The sequence below is a fragment of the Homo sapiens genome, chromosome 3 (assembly GCF_000001405.40).
Source record: "Homo sapiens chromosome 3, GRCh38.p14 Primary Assembly".
Classification (NCBI taxonomy): Eukaryota; Metazoa; Chordata; class Mammalia; order Primates; family Hominidae; genus Homo; species Homo sapiens.
Genome location: NC_000003.12, coordinates 45,201,732 through 45,219,388, shown reverse-complemented (window position 1 = coordinate 45,219,388; position 17,657 = coordinate 45,201,732). Strand labels below are relative to the sequence as shown.

Sequence of the window (17,657 nt, the reverse complement as noted above, 5' to 3'; positions counted from 1 at the left end):
GATTCAAGCCATTCTCCTGCCTCAGCCTCCCAAATAGCTGGAACTACAGGCACCTGCCACCACACTCGACTAATTTTATATTTTTAGTAGAGACAGTTTTCCCTATGTTGGGCAGGCTGGTCTCAAACTCTGACCTCAAGGGATCCGCCCACCTTGGCCTCCCAAAGTGCTGGGATTACAGGCATGAGTCACCGTGTCTGGTGAGTAACTTAAATTTACAAATTTTTTGTCCATTCCCCACACAGCAACACTGTCCTCGGTCAGCTCCTGCTGTTTTCTTTACAGCCAAGGTCTCTGCAGACAGCAGGCCCCCATGCTTTCGCCGCAATCTTCTGTTTCTGGTCTTTCTAAGAGGCTGCCTTCTTTTCTGCCCCTCACTTCCAGCTATCAAGATCACATAACCCTCAGCCCAATCGATCCAGCCAGTGCACCATCCCCTCCAAGCCTAGGCATCCTCCAAGCCTGTGCTGACACTGGATGCTTTCTGCCACACCCCGGGATGGGACAAGGCCCAAGGTTATTTTGAGGAGGGTGGGGATTTCCTGTGGTCGTCTGAGGACAGGTGGCATGGCTGTTCACTCAGGACAATTAAAGGCCTTTCTCCTCGTCTCACCCTTAGTATTTTCCTGGCGTTCTTATTGCCTGAGCATTCCCAGGACTGTCTCTCAAAGCACTAGAGTGCTGCCAAAGATGCATTCTTTTGTGTGCTTTCACAGGATCAGTGATAAAAATCAAAATGATTGGCATCTTGATAACATGCCAAGGCCTCATTTTGACTATGGAGACAACATGCCTCCCAGCAAGCTTTTTTGGCACTCTAGAAAATAACCTACCTTCCAGGTGCCCCACCAGGACCCCTTTTGTTCTGTGATTAGAGTCCTTGCTGGGCTACTGGCAGTCCTATCAGACTTCCTGAGGGTCAGTGGGCATGGGACAGAAGGCTGCTGGCCCTATCTCTCCAACCCCCCAAATACCCCAACCCCAATCTAGAGGTCAAGTGGCTGCAGGTTGGAGAAACTTGTTTAGAACCTGACAGAGCCCCCAGAGTCCCCTTGCGATGGCACTCCAGGCCCCTCTGAGCCACCACTGTTACCAATGCACTTTTCTATCCCGGGGGTAACATTTGTGATTTCCAGCCTACCTATAGGGCTGCCTTCTATGGTAGCCACTCTGGACTTAAATCATGATCCACACTGTGTAAGGATCTAGAACTGTGGTCTTGCTATTGTAGTACCTTGGAATCTTATTTCAGAATATTTATGATCCTCAGGAATTCCCTGGCTCAAGTTAATTCCATGTATTATTTGTTCTTGCAAGATAGATGCTGATTTTCTTACCATAGAATTTAACATTACGCCCTATCTTCCCTCCTGTGTTTCTAGATAACTCTGCAGCTGCTGAGGGAGGACTACACTAGAAAATAGTGATAATAATAAATATGATTATTATACAGTAATCATAATAAATATGATTACTAATAACGGTTCCCTTGGACTGGAGAGGGAAGAAGCAGAAGAAATAGAAGGAAAGGCAATAACTAAGAGGAGAGAAGGAAAAGAGAATTGAAACATCAGCTCTAAGAACAGAAAGATGATCCCCTTTCTCATCAGCCCCGCACTCGCACAAAATGAGAGACCCAAATGCTCCCACCGCAAGGCACAGGGGAGAATGGAGTGGGTGCCCTGGAGCTGGAGGCTGAGGCACGGGGAGAATGGAGAGCAGAACATGCACATGGAGGACCCTCCATGGGAAGACTCCAGGCAGGAGGGGCACATGGGCAGGAGCCTGCCTGGTGGCTGGGAGCAGGTTCTGCTGGCTTCTATCCTGCAGAGCTATCCCAAGGGGACTAGCTCCATCCTCTCTCCTTGGATCACTGAGTTCCAGTGTCTCACTCAGCCTGAAAGGCACATACCACCATGCCAGTGCAAGGCCATCACCATGTCCCTGAGAGGGGACCTGTGTTGGTTAACACTGTGCAGGTCCATCAGAGACTGAGAATGGATATTTTACCATACAGCATTGCCTGAAGTCATAGAATACCTTGCTAAGTAAAAAAGAAAGAAAAGACCACACATCTTCCTACTACCCAAAACTAAGCCCTGCAAACATTTTGGTGCATGTAGTTGCAGTTTTGTTTTACACGTGTGTGTGACCATAAGTAATTATTCAAATTAAAAAATGGAAATGGCCAGGCGTGGTGGCTCATGCCCGTAATCCCAGCACTTTGGGAGGCCAAAGCGGGTGGATCACCTGAGGTTAGGAGTTCGAGACCACCCTGGCCAACATGGTGAAACCCCATCTCTACTAAAAATGCAAAAATTAGCCCGGTGTGGTGGCAGGCACCTGTAATCCCAGCTACTCGGGAGGCTGAGGCAGGAGAATTGCTTGAACCCGGGAGGCAGAGGTTGCAGTGAGCTGAGATCACGCCATTGCACTCCAGCCTGGGAGACAAAAGCCAAACTCCATCTCAAAAAAAAAAGGAACTGTGTTGTGCATAACTGCTTTTAAAACTTGTATTTCTTTACTAGACCAGTGTTATATCATAGAAAAATTAGAAAATACCACTCATAAAACAAATGAATCAATATCTCCAATAACCCCCAGCACCCAAAAGTGAGCATGACTGATATTTATTGATGGGTATTCAAATGGATATATTATACATATTTTAACCCCAAACTGGGTACCTGCTTCTTAGCACCCTGCATTCCTGCACTCAGCAGCTCTTAGGCAGTTCCCTCCCTCTGCAGAAGGTCATAGAGGGCTTCTCACGGCAGGTGTGTGAAGGCTGTATTCTTGATGCGTGGGTCAGACATCAGCTGCACAGGATATTGAAATCTATCAAGGCCAAAGACCTAATGGAGATGGGGGAGGGAGGATTGGATCTGCTATATTTCCCTTCCCAAGTTTATCATCTCCAGACACATATCAAAACCAGACCGAACTTTCCGCCCCTCCTGGCAGAAACATCTCTGCTTTTGTGTCTGAGATTTCAGATGAGGCTGATAAGGAACAGAACACAACTTTAGAGGATGAACAACTCAATTCGTCTCAAGTCATAACTGCAAACGGCTTCGTATTTCCTGGGTTTATTTGATGTCTTTGGTCCGAAAATGAATTCTGAGATCCAATTAGCAGGAAGGATATTGCTCCCGTGTAATGCTGCTCCAAGAGCTGTCACAACATATGGCTGAGTTAAAGCTGCAGCCAGAACCCCTCTGAAGTCAGAACATCCAGAGGCTTGCCAGAGAGGAAAAGATCTCACCAGAGGTCGGGGAATCACCAAGGACAGGAACCACCCATGGGTCAAAATGTATTCGGCAGCTCTCACAGTCAGTGGAAAGTGTTAAGGTCTTCCAGAATGGATCGTGACTTAGACTGGGTTCCCTAGAAGCAGAGCCTGAGATGGAGAGTCTCATCCAAGCGATGAATTGGGGCATGCTTTCAGGAGAAGGGGAGTGAGGGAAGCAGAATGGGGCAGGGGAAGTAGCAAAGCAAGCACGTGGTCTCAGCTGATGTGGGCTTCAGCCTGACCCCAGGGGAACCTCTGGAGCAGGCCGTGCACCACAGTTGCTGCACCTTGAGACAAAGGGCTGGTCTTTTGTATTTCCACTTTAACCAATCACGGGTCAAATTCTAGGTAGAGGAGTCAGCACAGCCTCCCTGGCAGCTTCCGTTTAGCTGGGCCCAGCTCTCTAGAAGGGGAGGCAGCTGGGAGAAGTCTGCAGCCTACACTCAGAGCAGCTGTAAGAGGAATGTGGATGGGGTGCCTGCAGCATTCACTGCAGACCTCACAGTGTTCTTCAGTGCCATTCCCATCAATGGTGGAGTGGGGGGTGCCCAGAGGACATGAAGCTTAAATGTGCCCATCAAAGTTTCAACTCCCTCTCCGGCCAACAATGCTGACCACCAGGCCTTGCCAGTCTCGAGGAGATCTGGCTGGGTGGTCTTGTCTCTGGTGTCCTGCACTGGGGCCCACTGAGGTACAGCTGGCTTTGTCATGCCGGCCCTCCCTAATGAGGTCAGAAGTCCCTGCCATCTGTCATTGCGTGCAAAGTCCTGGTTCCCCAGTATGTGCATTATAAGGGAAGCCCCTCAGTATTAGGGAATTTGCTGAGGCCACCAGCAGGCTGGTAATAGCATGGGACAGGACCCCAGGACACCTGCTTGCAGTACCTGCCCTGCCATGCATGAGCTGTTTGGCTGCAGCTTGAGCTTCCGTCTCCTCCTCTACAGAACAAGGGGATTGGGGCAGGTAAGGCCCCAGTCCCTCGCAGGCCTGCAGTTTTGTGTTCAGGCTTTCCCTCCCCATCTTCCAGGCCAAGTCAGACCACATCCACCACAAAGACACTTCCCTCGAGGATTTTTCCAGCAGGTAGACTGAAACAGAGGCCAAGTCCTCTCATTTTTCTGAGTGACTTGAAGGGGAAACATGTACAAGTAAGAAAAGAGGATGCTTAAGATATCAGAATGTATTTTGCCCTGGATTGTCTAAATTGGCTGTTTGCGTGGCTCTAATAATCTATAAAATCATTATGATTTTTGCATTTTTCTATTCAAATGACCAGGGCCATGGAGTAAAGATTTTTTTTCAAGTCAATGAGGTAAACAAGAAAGAAGAAATGTTTCACATTTTAAAAATGATTTCTTTGTCAGTTAGCAATGAATATCATGCTCTAAAGTAAGGAAGAGAAGAAATTAGCATGGGTTGTAGATGCCAGGAACTTGACCTTCCAAATCCTCACAGCAATCTAATGAGGGCTGTGCCTCCAAAGTGCACAGTGGGGCAGCTAGGTTGTCCTCCCTGGGTGTGGGGAGAATCCTGGAATTTTACCATCTTGGTGTCTCAGAGATGTGCCCACACAGGCCTTCAAGAACTCTCTGTTGAATTGCATTATGAGCAAAAATTGTGTGTTCCTGTGGTTTCCTTGCAGGCCTCTTCCAGCCCAGGCTCAGAAAACATTGGGCAGATTTCCTGTGTGGCCTGACTAAACGGGGTTTTAAGCGCCACCAACACCTCTGTGGGAAATGCCATTCCTGTCGCCAAGAGACACCCCCTCCAGATAGGCATCTGCAAGGAAAAAGCAGCTGTTCTGGCGGCTTTGTGAACCTTCACCTCGGTTTAGAGCACCTGAGGGCAGATCGAGATGTGCGTCCCCACCTGGCTGCTAGAGAGCCGGCCCAGAGAAACAGGAGATTCAGGTAGCCATCAGCAATGCCAGAGAAGCCCTCGCTCCACTGCCTTTCACCCAGGATGTCACAGACCCACCTCCTGGCCCACACACGTGCATGCCACCAGCATCAACATGCAGGCAGACACAGCCACTCCCAGATGCACCTCCCCTGGTGCCAAGAAGAGTTTTCAGATACAAGGAGGGAAAGGAACAGGGGTTTGGGCATTGCAGACCTGAGTTTGTTTGCATCTTAGCTCTGCCATTTTACCTTGCTGGGCATTCTCTTCCTCATCTGTAAAACAGAGAAAATAATACCTACCCAGCAGCCAGAGAGTTGGGAAGAGTAATTATGAAGAACCCCTAGGGTGTTCCTTGGCACATAGAAAGTGCTTCATGAGTGAGGTTTACTAATACTGATTATTGAAAATCTTCAGGGCTGTTGTTCTTGATCTTTTGCAAGCATCCCCTCTCCCACCACCTAGAGTCTGGTTCACTCTGGGGCCCTGGGGATGTTGAAGGAAAGGTTTCTCGGGGCCTTCTGCCTCCCCTCTGACCACCCCACTGAAATGGAGAGTCCCAGCACCGCGTAGGGCTGGGGCCACAGGCTCTGCCGCTGCACTGGGGCAAGGACCCTCCATGGTTTCTGATCCTTCAGTGTGGGGAGGGGACTCTCCAGGTTTGCATCCCCTCAAAGAGTCTCTCTCCTGTGCTGAAGCAGCAAACAGATGTGGGGTCCTCCAGGAAGGCCTCGCCACTCCAGGAATGGCCCAGCCCCACTCATACAGCTCCCCAAGTCCCTTTTCAATGCAGATCCATGACTGGCCCGATTCTAGGCTCAAATAAGCCCGTGTTCTTTACAATTCACATCCACTTCATTCCGGAACCCCCATGTCACACTTAATTTGCCAGATGAGATGGCCGAAACCCTGCAGATTCAGCTCAGCCTACCAATTCCCTTCAGAGGGAAGTCAAAGGCCCAACATCGTTAGACATTTTAGCTCATGGAATGATTCCAGCAGAATGGAGTGAGAAGTGGGACCAGCCAGGTGGGGTGGAGGTGGTGCCCAGTGAGGCCAGACTAGTCTATTTCAAATACTAGCCCTGGCACTGGCCAGCTGCTTTCTAGGCCTCAGTTTCCTTTTCTGTAAAATGGGAATAATAACAGTACCTCTCCCATAGGTACTGTTGTCATGATTTTAAAGGAAAACATACCTAAGAGTTTACTTCCTCTCCACACTCCTTTAGAAACACATGTCCCAACTGGAGACCTGGCTCACCCAGGACTATCTTATAGCCTAGTTGGTTCTGTTTGGGATGATAAAAAAGTTTTGAAACCAGAGAGTGGTGGTGGTTTCACAATATTGTGGATGTAATTAATGCCACCAAATCATATCCTTTAAAAGGGTTAAATATTAATTTAATAGCCAGGCGTGGTGGGATTACATGCCTGTAATCCCAATTACTTGGGAGGCTGAGACAGGAGAATTGCTTGAAACCGGAAGGTGGAGGTTGCGGTGAGTCAAGATCGCACCATTGCACTCCAGCCTGGGCAACAAGAGCGAAACTCCATCTCAAAATAAATAAATAAATAGATAAACAAACAAACATAAAAGAATTGCATATTATGTATGTCATACCACAATTTTAGAAAACATTTTTAAAATAATAAGAATAAGGGAAAGGCTTACCTGACTCCAACTGAGAACTGAACATGGGTCATAAAAGATGGGTTTTGTCCCCTTCCCAGTGGAATGATCCAGAAACAGCCTGCGCCCCCTGATGCACGGGCTCCTTGTGGTGGCCCCGCCTACGCCACCCCACTCCTGGGTTTTTCTCCTGCTTGAGTTGCGGAATGGCCTAGTGCAGTACAAAGGAGACAGTTGAGGCTTCTCTCTCTTTCGTCACCAGCACAGACAGATGTGGCAATGGTGTTCAGGAAAGAGAGCTGAGAGCAGACTCGATGCCCCGCCATGAGGCAGGTGATGGAACCCCAGGTTTCTGCTCCCAGTGTACCCAAAGCAGCCCCCCTGGTCCAGCAAACTCCCAAATTCCATACAGGCATGACTGCAGGGAACAAGTGAGAGAGCGTCCCTGCCGCCTTCTATTTCTGCCAATTCCCTCTTCTTTTCTCTCAGGTCTGAGTCGTGCAGGAAAAGAGTGATGAAACCATTCCCTCACTCTCTCCTGCCACTGAGAATTATTCGTTTTGTTCCAAAGAGTCTCGTGGGCTGGAGGCAGCCACAGGGCTTGGATGGAGTTCATTATCGGGCACAGACCCAGGGCAGAACATAAAAGATTCAGCCTTGACATTTTACAGATGGAAACAAATTTCTGCGCTGTCATGGTGGGGCTCAGAGAGAGCACATTTTAACACAGACACAGGATGAAAACTCTTTACAGTCCTGGACTGGTGGGAGCAGCAGCACAGCTCGCAGGAGACCAACATTGGCACGATCGGCCTCATGACCCTCAACAAGGCTCTCATGCTCCATGAGCCTCAGTTCCCCTATATATACAAGAGGGGACACTAAACACCTGCTGTAGGGCTGTTGGTGCCTAGCGCTCCCATGGCACACAGCCTATCTGGACCTACCTCTAGGTTATCAGCTGTGTCACACTTTGCCGGGGACCACGGATGTGTACTATTATAAATAGCTATTGTTTATTGAAATGTTACTATGTTCTGAGAATTTTTAATCATGCATATAGAAGACTTTGGTGGTGCCCCAGCCATCCCCCCTCCCCACTAACCATTTCCATACATGTTGTCCCAACTTCCGAATGCCATCATTTCCGAATCTATCTGAGGATCCTCTCTGGTTGCTGGTGCCCACCGTGCCCACGTGTCAAATAATGAGAGAGCTGAGGCATTAAGGCACCCCAGGAGTGGTCCTCCCACAGTGAATGATGGGAATCTGTGGATAAATACCCCAGCTCCCTTGCCCCTCAGGCAAGGTCCTACTGAGAGGGATGGTGTGCAGGTGCCCTCAGTGGCAAAACACTTGCTGGATAAGTCACTCTTGCCATCTTCTTCCCCACTCCTGGCTCACATCGCCCTCCCCAAGTGGTTTTTCCTGGAGTCACTTCTCAAATAAACTACTTATGTCTGAATCTCTCAGGATCTATTTCTGAGGAATCCAAAGCATAATCTTATTTTTAACAAAGAACCCAAAGAGCTAGGTACTTTGATCTTCCTTTTACTGATAAGAAACAGGCTTAGAGACGTTTAATGTCTAAGGTTGCACAAGCCCTAAGCGCAGAACTTAAATTCTGACATCTGGCCACAGGGCCCCAGCCAAGCCAGCAAATGTCATGTCCAAGGCGGTGGCTTGCCAGGGAAGCCTGAGGCTGCAGAGGGTAAATCCCCTCCCCATCCACTTTACCCTCCACCTAAACACACACACGCGTGCACACACACACACCCCCCCCAACAGAGAGAGAGAGAGAGAGCCCATCCCACAGAGTGCCCGCCACCAGGTGGTGCCCTTGCTGGGAGGTGCAGGCTGGCCCTGCAGAGAATCTACCCGCAGGCCAGTGGTGTCGTCAGGTCTGGCTGAGCTACTTCGAAGAACCGAGCAGTCGGCCTTCAGAAGTGTCTTTCTGAGGAAGGCTGGAGCCCAGTAGGCAGAACTTGGATTGGGAAGTTTTTAAAAGCTCCCAGGACTTCTGAGCTGTTGGAGCAGCACACACACACGCACTTCCCCAGCTGTTAGCAGTGGGAGGACAAGCGTACTTTCTAAACCTGCCTGCAAAGTTGAGGTTCTAGAAACCCTCTCTATGGTCACTCAGGGTAGCAAATTCCATCTTCCTGGTCCAGCTCCCGTACTGTGGGACATAAGGACCCCCACCCACCCACACCCCCACAACCTCTGCCTCCTCCCCACCTTGCCTTGGTGTGAGGATTGGGCTTGGGACTTGGGACGGAAGGATCAGGGGCAACAGGACAGCTCCTTCGGTGGAGCTGCCCCAAGGTTCTGGCCCTGGGCTGACCTGTGTTATTTGCAAGTGCAGCAAGAAGGGACAGAAGCCTGCTCTCCTTTCTCTGGGGTGGTTCCAGCCCCTGCAGGAGACCACTGGGACCTAGCATCAGTCTCCCCAAAAAACACAGAATGACCGTCCGTGATTTAAAGGAGTACCACTCCTGTTTTTCTGCTGTTAAAGTTCTGACTCCAGGTCAGGCACAGTGGCTCATGCCTGTAATCCCAGCACTTTGGGCAGCCTGGGGGACAGAGTGAGACTCTGCCTCAAAAAAAAAAAAAAAAGGTTCTGACTCCAGACTGATATGTCAAGATACATGATTCTGTTTTTTGTTTGTTTACTTAAGCTGTAAAACCCAACTTTAAATTCCTAAATATATCCACAGAGCCTCTTATTTTCTTCATATTTATCTTAACATTTAAAAATGTATCACTGGCTGTCTTAGGTCGGGTTCCCAGAAGCAGACATTGAGATGAGTTTTGTGTGCAAGTGATTTATGAAGGATGTGCTCTCAGAAAAGCCAAGCTAGGGCGTCATCTCAGGCTGAGTCCCAGGGAGAATAGCTTTAGCCTGCCCCACAGGGAACCCCAAGTATAAATAGCCCTCAGAATCCCCCTGCCTCCCACCCCGTGCACCTGGACAAGGCTTACATTCCTACATTCTACCAGTCATTGGTGAAGGGCTGCCCCAGAGGAGTGTAAATTCTCAGGCAATGCCCCCTCCAGCAGCCCAAGACTGGATCTACAAAGAAGAGTTACAGGTGCCAGCTGCTGGGAGTGGTGATGAGGCCACACACTCACGCATCAGTAAAAGCAGATCCAAAGGCTGGGTACGGTGGTTCACGCCTGTAATCCCAGCACTTTGGGAGGCCGAGGTGGGAGGATCGCCTGAGGTCAGGAGTTCAAGACCAGCCTGGCCAACATGGTGAAACCCTATCTGTACTAAAAATACAAAAACAATTAGCCAGGCATGGTGGCGCACGCCTGTAGTCCGAGCTGCTCAGGAGGCTGAGGCAGGAGGATCACTTGAGCCTGGGAAGTCGGGGCTGCAGTGAGCCAAGATTGCACAACTGCACTCCAGCCTGAGAAAAAGGTATGAGACTCCATCTCAAAAAAAAAAAAAAATTAAAGAATCTTGTGAACAAGTAAGATGCACATACAATCACAGTGATACACATACACATGCACATATACATAGAAAAAAGATGGGAAAAAAATAAACCAAGATGTTTACAGTGGTTATCTATGGCTGGTGAAATTACAGAATTATTTTTATTTTCTTCTTTATAGTATTTCCCCCCAAGTTTTCTACAATGAAATCATATATATTACCATCATAATTGAAAAAAAATAAGTATGTAGTTATGGAAGTCATGAGTATCCTGTGGTCAGGGTAGAATTTGCTCAGATATGCAAAACACAACCATCAATAAGATCCCAACCAGCTCTTGAAACCCCATTTCCGCTGCATGCAAGAAAATTTTTGATCTTACTGTTATGGTATCTCAGCCTCCTCTGGTTTAAAATAATCTCTTTTTGAGTAATTACATAGTGTCTGGGTCTCTCCACCAATGCAAGGATTTTCCTTTCTCCGCTTTATTCCAAGATGGCAGCTGGATGCAGGGGAAGCTAACTTAGCTTCAGGTCTTGGCCTTGTGGCACAATCACATGCTGCCTGCAAGGTTAGAGGCTTTACCTTGCTGCCTCAGCCTCATCTGGCTCTCACTGTGACTCCTGATCCCCAAGGGCTGCATGGGAAAGCTATTTGATTGCTGGTTTGAGGAGTCCTTTCTGCAGCTCTTCGTTATAGAGTCACTTTGCCTTCTTTATGGTGATGTTCTGGTGAAATCACCAGCTAGTACCTCAGATACTTTTTGGCCCCCAACCCCTGTTGGCACACAGGAACTCCTGGGCTCCCTCCACAACTCATGCAAGTTCAAATGTTATTTTACTTTTTTTTTTTTTTTTTTTTCTTGACAGCCTCTCCCTCTGTCGCCCAGGCTGGAGTGCAGTGGTTCGATCTCGGCTCACTGCAACTTCTGCCTCCTGGGTTCAAGGGATCCTCCTGCCTCATCTTCCCAAGTAGCTGGGACTACAGGTGTGCTTTTTGTATTTTTAGTAGAGACGGGGCTTCACCATGTTGGCCAGGCCGGTCTCGAACTCCTGACCTCAAGTGATCCACCCGACTTGGCCTCCCAAAGTGCTGGGATTACAGACTTGAGCCACCGCGCCCAGGCAAGCCCATACGTTCTATGTCAGGTGAGTTGTCTCAGGCCCAGGCCACTGAAGTGCCTCCCTCAGCCATTTCTGCTCTGTGACTTGGGCACCATGTTGGATGCAGCGTTAGCCTGATCCAAAGGCTCCCTTGAGAGATTTGAAGACTCCTCAGGCTATACCCAGGGAAGTGGGAGCACCAGCCCTTATGTTCGTGGAGTCTTTAAAACTATCTGAGTGTTTCTATCGTCTCTTACACCTGGAGCTTTGATCCTGATGGGTGGGGCGGGAAAAACCAGCACACTCACAACCTGCCCCTGGCCTGCCTTTTCTTGTCCCATTTCTTAACTCCTTCTCCAAGTCTCAAAGTAGCTGTCCTTCTTCCTGTAGGGTAGAAACTTCCCTTTTGTCATATCTGCATTTTTCTTTCTTCCATGATTCACTCAATGATCACTCAATTTCTCTGAGCTTCGATTTTTTTGATATGTAAAAACCCCAGCCTTGGGGGTTTTAAGAAAACCCTTTCTCTCTCTGCAAAGTCTGGCATTTGAGACTATTGTCTTGCTATCAGATTTTAAGTCTACTTTGAAACTTAAAGCAGAAAAATGAAGCCTTTCATTAATGCTGTCACCACCTTCCTCTTCCTTAGAGAGATTTACCCCTGCTTCCTGGTCCAGGCTTAATGGCACAAAGGCTATAAGAATGAGTGATGAGGCCAGGCGCAGTGGCTCACACCTGTAATCCCAGCACTTTGGGAGGCCAAGGCAGTCGATCACCTGAAATCAGGAATTCGAGACCAGCCTGACCAACATGGTGAAACCGCATCTCTACTAAATACAAAAAATTAGCCGGGCATGCTGGCACATGCCTGTAATCCCAGCTACTCAGGTGGCTGAGGCAGGAGAATCACTTGAATTCGGGAGGTGGAGGTTGCAGTGAGAAGAGATCACGCTGCTGCACTCCAGCCTGGGCAACAGAGCAAGACTCTGTCTCAAAAAAAAAAAAAAAAAAAAAAAAAGGCCTGGCCTCGTGAAGGCAATTTGGAATGTAATTTGGCAAGAGATATCCTACCAAGCCCCTCCAGGTGGGGCAAAAACCCTTTGCAGCGATGGGTGCCCCTGGGAAATAGGACTTTACCCTATCCATTTTCAGGATGAACTCTTAGGAATGTGCTAGGGTTATTCTGTACCACACCTTGCACCTGGTAAGTGGACAGGTATGTAGCCAGTCTCCAAAATACTTGGGGTTGCAGGGCTAGAAGTAGGAGCAATAAACCCCTTCACCCCTCCTATTGGCAGATGGCACCTTGTGCCTGGCAGAGCCCTTGCTCTGTGAGGTTGGCATCACTTGTGGAGCTCTGTCCTCATGGGCATTTGGGGATCTGAGGACCTTTACCTGTGTCTGTAAGTAAGCTGGTGTTGAGGCTACAACAGCTCCATCCTGGAAGTTAATCCACCATGTTAGCTTCTGATTAACCGCTGTTCTGGGAAGTCCTCTAAGATTTCCAGTTTATTGTTCCTTGTTTAGAGCAGGTACTTACCATAAATCCTGCCCTTAGATCAAGCAACCTTGATGTTATCTACTTCAATTGACCTACATGTCCCTTCTAACCCACCCCTCCCTTGTGGTATATAAGCCCAGGGTCTTGGGGGGTGATGGTGCAGGGATCCCCCATCTGGTCTTGCTGCCACTGGAGAAGTAGACATGGCTTCTGTTCCTAAGACCCTATTAAATGTTTCTTTCTAAGAAACCAGATTTGGCTGGGCACAGGGGCTCATGCCTATAATTCCAGCACTTTGGGAGGCTGAGGCAGGTGGATCATTTGAGGTCAGCAGTTCGAGACCAGCCTGACCAACATGGTGAAACCCTGTCTCCACTAAAAATACAAAAAGTAGCCAGGCATGGTGGTGGTGCATGCCTGCATGCCTGTAGTTCCAGCTACTAGGGAGGCTGAGACAGGAGAGAATCTCTTGAACCTGGGAGGCGGAGGTTGCAGTGAGCGAGAGTGCCACTGCACTCCAGCCTGGGTGACACAGCAAGACTCTGTTTAAATATATATATATATATATATATATATATATATATATATATATATATATATATATGGCCGGGCGCGGTAGCTCACGCCTGTAATCCCAGCACTTTGGGAGGCCGAGGCGGGCAGATCATGAGGTCAGGAGATTGAGACCATCCTGGCTAACACGGAGAAACCCCGTCTCTACTAAAAATACAAAAAATTAGCCAGGTGTGGTGGTGGGCGCCTATAGTCCCAGCTACTCGGGGGGCTGTGGCAGGAGAATGGCGTGAACCCAGGAGGCGGAGCTTGCAGTGAGCCAAGATCTCGCCACTGCACTCCAGCCTGAGCGACAGAGCCAGACTCCGTCTCAAAATAAATAAATAAATAAATATAAAAAATAAAATATATATGTGTTTATACATATATGTGTATGTGTATATATGTGTGTGTGTGTATATACGTGTGTGTGTGTGTATATATATATATATATATGAAACCAGATTTGTCAGCCTCTTTCTTTGGCTTCTCAGCTTCCTCAAACTTTGTGGCAGGTTTGCATAGACCTGCCCACTGTGAAACAGCTGGACTGCCTCCTGCTTTCTGTAACCATTTCCACACATTTCCACAGCCTTCATCATTAAAGTGACTCTGCTGATCTACTTCCCCTGCTGATATCTGCTACATCTTTCCACTGGCATGTCATGTCACATCCTGCAGTGATATCCACATTACAATCACTTCTTGCTTGCAACAAGCTCTCTCAGCTGCTCCTGGAAAGGTTGTGTTTCTATAAACATTCAAATAGGTCATCAAGCTCTGGAACTGTAACCATGAGGAAAATATTGAAAACTATCTCTGCAATCAGATAGCTTATACCACTTACCTGACAAATGACTGAATATTTGTTAGCTCTGTAAGGGTTCCCAGAAATACTATATCATCCTCATAAAATATAAGCCAGCACCTGAGGTGATATGTCCTGGCTCTGATGTGTATTTCCTGCTACCATATTACTGTGCCGTATCTAGTTCACCTATTCATTGAGTTAACACCTGCGCATGGACCATCAGTTAAGTGCTCAGTCCTAATCTTTGTGGAATAGGTGCCCAAGTTGAGATCGAGCCTTCTTTTTGACAACCTTGATGATCAGAAGGGGAGTGGGTGAAGAGGTGGGTACTGTTCTTCTAAAACTTAAACACAAGCTGGGCACAGTGGCTCATGCCTGTAATCCCGCACTTTGGAAGGCCAAGGCAGGAGGATCACTTGAACCCAGGAGTTGAAGACCAGCCTGGGTAACATGATGAGACCCCATCTCTACAAGAAATAAAAAATTATCTGGGCACGGTAGTGCATACCTGTAGTCCCAGCTACTTGGGAGGCTGAGGTGGGAGGATTGCTTAAGCCTGGGAGGTGAAGGTTGCAGTGAGCTATGATTGCACCACTGCACTCCAGCCGGGGCAACAGAGAATGACCCTGTCTCAAATAAATAAATAAATACATACATACATAAATGTAAACACATTTTTCTGCCTTCTTAGAGCCAGGAGTTTGAATGTGCCTTTGAAGGAAGTCGGTTTCTTTTGGGAAAAACCTCTAATGGGACTATTAGTCAGGACTCTGTTGATTGTTGAGGGCATAAACCCATTTCAAACCAGCATGGGCCAAAAGGGGAATTTCCTGGATTAAGTAACCAAATCCCAGGAAGCGGGGGACTGCAGCTGGGCTCAGAGAGAGACAAGAGCCAAGACTTACCCGGGACTTTCTCACTCTCCCTCTGTTTCTTGTCTCTGCTGCTCTCAGCTCCTTGGCTTCTTCTATAAGTCTCAGGAAGATGCCTTCAGGAGAAGAAAGGGCCCCATTAGGGAGTGTGCGATCCAAATCAGCTGAAGGGCAAAGTTATGTAAAGGTTTTTTTGTAAATTTTTTATTTAAGGATTAGAAAAGTGCACAAATCAAAAACTCCCAATTTGATGAATTTTCATAGTAGATTAAAGACACTTGTCTAGCCAGCACCCAGATCAAGAATCAGAACTTACCAGCACCCACAGCCCCGCTAATTTCCCTTGCAGTCACTACCCCAGGTCAGTTGTGGACTTTTCTATAGGTATGATGTATGTCAATGAAAGTGTCAAGCAGCATAGAGTAGTTTTGCGTTTTGCCTGTTTTTGAACTTTATGCAATGAATCCAGGCAGTTTGTACTCTTTTCTGGCTGGCTCCTGTGGCTCACTACTATGTTTGTGAGATGCATCCACGCTGTTGCGTGCCATCATGGTTCATGCATTCCCATCACCACGTGGCATCTCATGGTGTAGAGGTGCCACTCTACTGATGACAGACATGTAGGCAGTTTCCAGGTTTTGGTAATTACAAGTAGGGTTACTATGCACATTCTTGTATATTATTATTATTATTATTGAGACAGGGTCTCACTCTATCACCAAGGCTGGAGTGCAGAGGCACCATCATGGCTCACCACTGCCTTGACCTCCCAGGCTCGCATGATCCTCATACCTCAGCTTCCCAAGTAGCTGGGACTACAGGCACATGCCACCATGCCTGGCTAAATTTTGTGTTTTTTATAGAGATGGGTTTTCACTATGTTGCCTAGGCTGGTCTCAAACTCCTAGGCTCAAGCAATCCTCCAACCTCCGCCGCCTGAGTAGCTGGGACTACAGATATGTGCCACCACACCTGGTTAACCTAAAAAAATTTTTGTAGAGATGGGGTCTCCCTGTGTTGCCCAGGCTGGTCTTGAATTTCTGGCCTCAAATGATCCTCCTGCCTCAGCCTCCCAAAGTATTGAGACTACAGGCGGGAGCCACAGTGCCCACCCTTCTTGCACATTATCTTTGGTAAGCACACACATTCATTTGTGTTTACTACATACCCAGGAGTGTGTGTCTATGTCATAGAGTCTCTATGTGTTCTGATTGAGTAGATAGGGAGTTACTGTTGTTCCATGTCCTCTCCAACACTTAGGATGGCCAGCCTTTTAATTTTAGCATTCCAGTAGGTGTGTAGTGGTAATCCATTGTGGTTTTAGATTGAACTGCGTTTCATATCCCTATTAGCCACTTAAATACAGTCATGCACCACATAATGATGTTTTGGTCAATGACAGACTGCACATACAACAATTATATTATATTATATGTTTACAATACCATATTTTTACTATACCTTTTCTATGTTTAGGTGTGTTTTGACACACAAATATTTACTGTGTTACAGCTGTCTACAGTATTCAGTACAGTAACATGCTGAGCATGTTTGTAGCTTCAGAGCAATAAGACTACACCATATAGCCTAGGTGTATAGTAAGCTATACCATCTAGGTTTGTATAAGTACACTGTATGATATTTATACAATGACAGAATCATCCAACCCATTTCTCAGATCATACCCCTGTCATTAAGTGGTGCGTGACTGCATTCTCTGTTGTGAACTGCCAGTTCAGGTCATTTGCCCATTTCCGTACTGAGCTGTTGACATTGCCTATTGGCATGGAGGGGTTCTTTATGTCCTGTGAATCCTCTGTGAGATGTACTTATCAACAAATGCCCTCTCAAGTCTGTGACATCGTTTTCATAGTCTTACCTTCTGATGGTTGGAAGTTCTTAAATTTAGTGTAGCCCAATTTATCAAAATTTCCCCTGATGTTTAATGCCTTTTGAGTTATATTTAAGAAATAGTTGCCTATTGCAGAGACTGAATTTTAAAGATGATTTTAGGTAGAAAGAAATGAAGTTTTAAAGCAAGAATCACTTAGAGAAAAAATTGTAAGCAAAATGTTTATGTACATCCAAGTTGTAATGTGAACATTTCAGCCCTAAAACATATATTTTAGACTTACTTGGACCCTGAAAATAAAGTTTACTGCCTCGGTTGTTTTTCTTTTTTAATTCATCATGGAATATCAGGGTTGCAAAGTCTGAAAAGTCTTTCCTTTCGTTGGTCTGACTCAGGTCAACAAATACTCACTGAGCACCTCTCTGTGCCATGCTCTCCTGGGAATTAGGAATGAGAAATGATGGTGTTGCTCAGGGCCTGGTAGGGAGGATAGTGCGCCCAAGTCATCTTGATCCCAAGCCATCTTGATGATGCTGCAATGGAAGCATGTCCCTGGCATCTGCAGCCTCAAAGGATAAGAGTGCATCTGCTTGAGAGAGAAGGCCTGCAGAAGAAGAGAGATACTTAGGAATTGGGTCTTAAGCAGCTGTATGAGAGCTCTCAGGTGGATACAGATGGAGGGTATGGGTTTTGTTTGTTTGTTT

The 17,657-nt window shown here is 47.3% G+C and overlaps 1 long non-coding RNA gene across 5 annotated transcripts, besides 2 other annotated features; it reads right to left on the bottom strand.

Moving 5' to 3' along the window:
* Window positions 1-2,614: 2,614 nt before the first annotated feature.
* On the bottom strand, window positions 2,615-17,560 carry LOC101928636 (uncharacterized). 5 transcript variants are annotated; one of them, XR_001740675.2, is made up of 4 exons: window positions 17,365-17,560; window positions 15,135-15,217; window positions 6,863-7,031; window positions 2,615-5,466 (listed from the first exon to the last, which is right to left on the bottom strand). It is a non-coding gene; the product is annotated as an uncharacterized LOC101928636 (long non-coding RNA). The 5 variants fall into 5 exon arrangements; XR_001740676.2 differs by lacking the exons at window positions 15,135-15,217; window positions 17,365-17,560 and having other exon boundaries at window positions 2,615-3,387; window positions 5,408-5,466; window positions 6,863-8,144; XR_001740677.3 differs by lacking the exons at window positions 15,135-15,217; window positions 17,365-17,560 and adding an exon at window positions 7,231-8,144.
* Window positions 3,304-3,804: an enhancer, noted in NCBI's record as "H3K4me1 hESC enhancer chr3:45257077-45257577 (GRCh37/hg19 assembly coordinates)". NCBI's record gives its function as "activates a minimal SCP1, AML or CMV promoter by ChIP-STARR-seq in naive H9 embryonic stem cells {active_cell/tissue: H9 hESC(naive)}" and the evidence as "EXISTENCE:reporter gene assay evidence [ECO:0000049][PMID:30033119]".
* Window positions 3,805-4,305: an enhancer, noted in NCBI's record as "H3K4me1 hESC enhancer chr3:45256576-45257076 (GRCh37/hg19 assembly coordinates)". NCBI's record gives its function as "activates a minimal SCP1, AML or CMV promoter by ChIP-STARR-seq in primed H9 embryonic stem cells {active_cell/tissue: H9 hESC(primed)}" and the evidence as "EXISTENCE:reporter gene assay evidence [ECO:0000049][PMID:30033119]".
* Window positions 17,561-17,657: the final 97 nt, after the last annotated feature.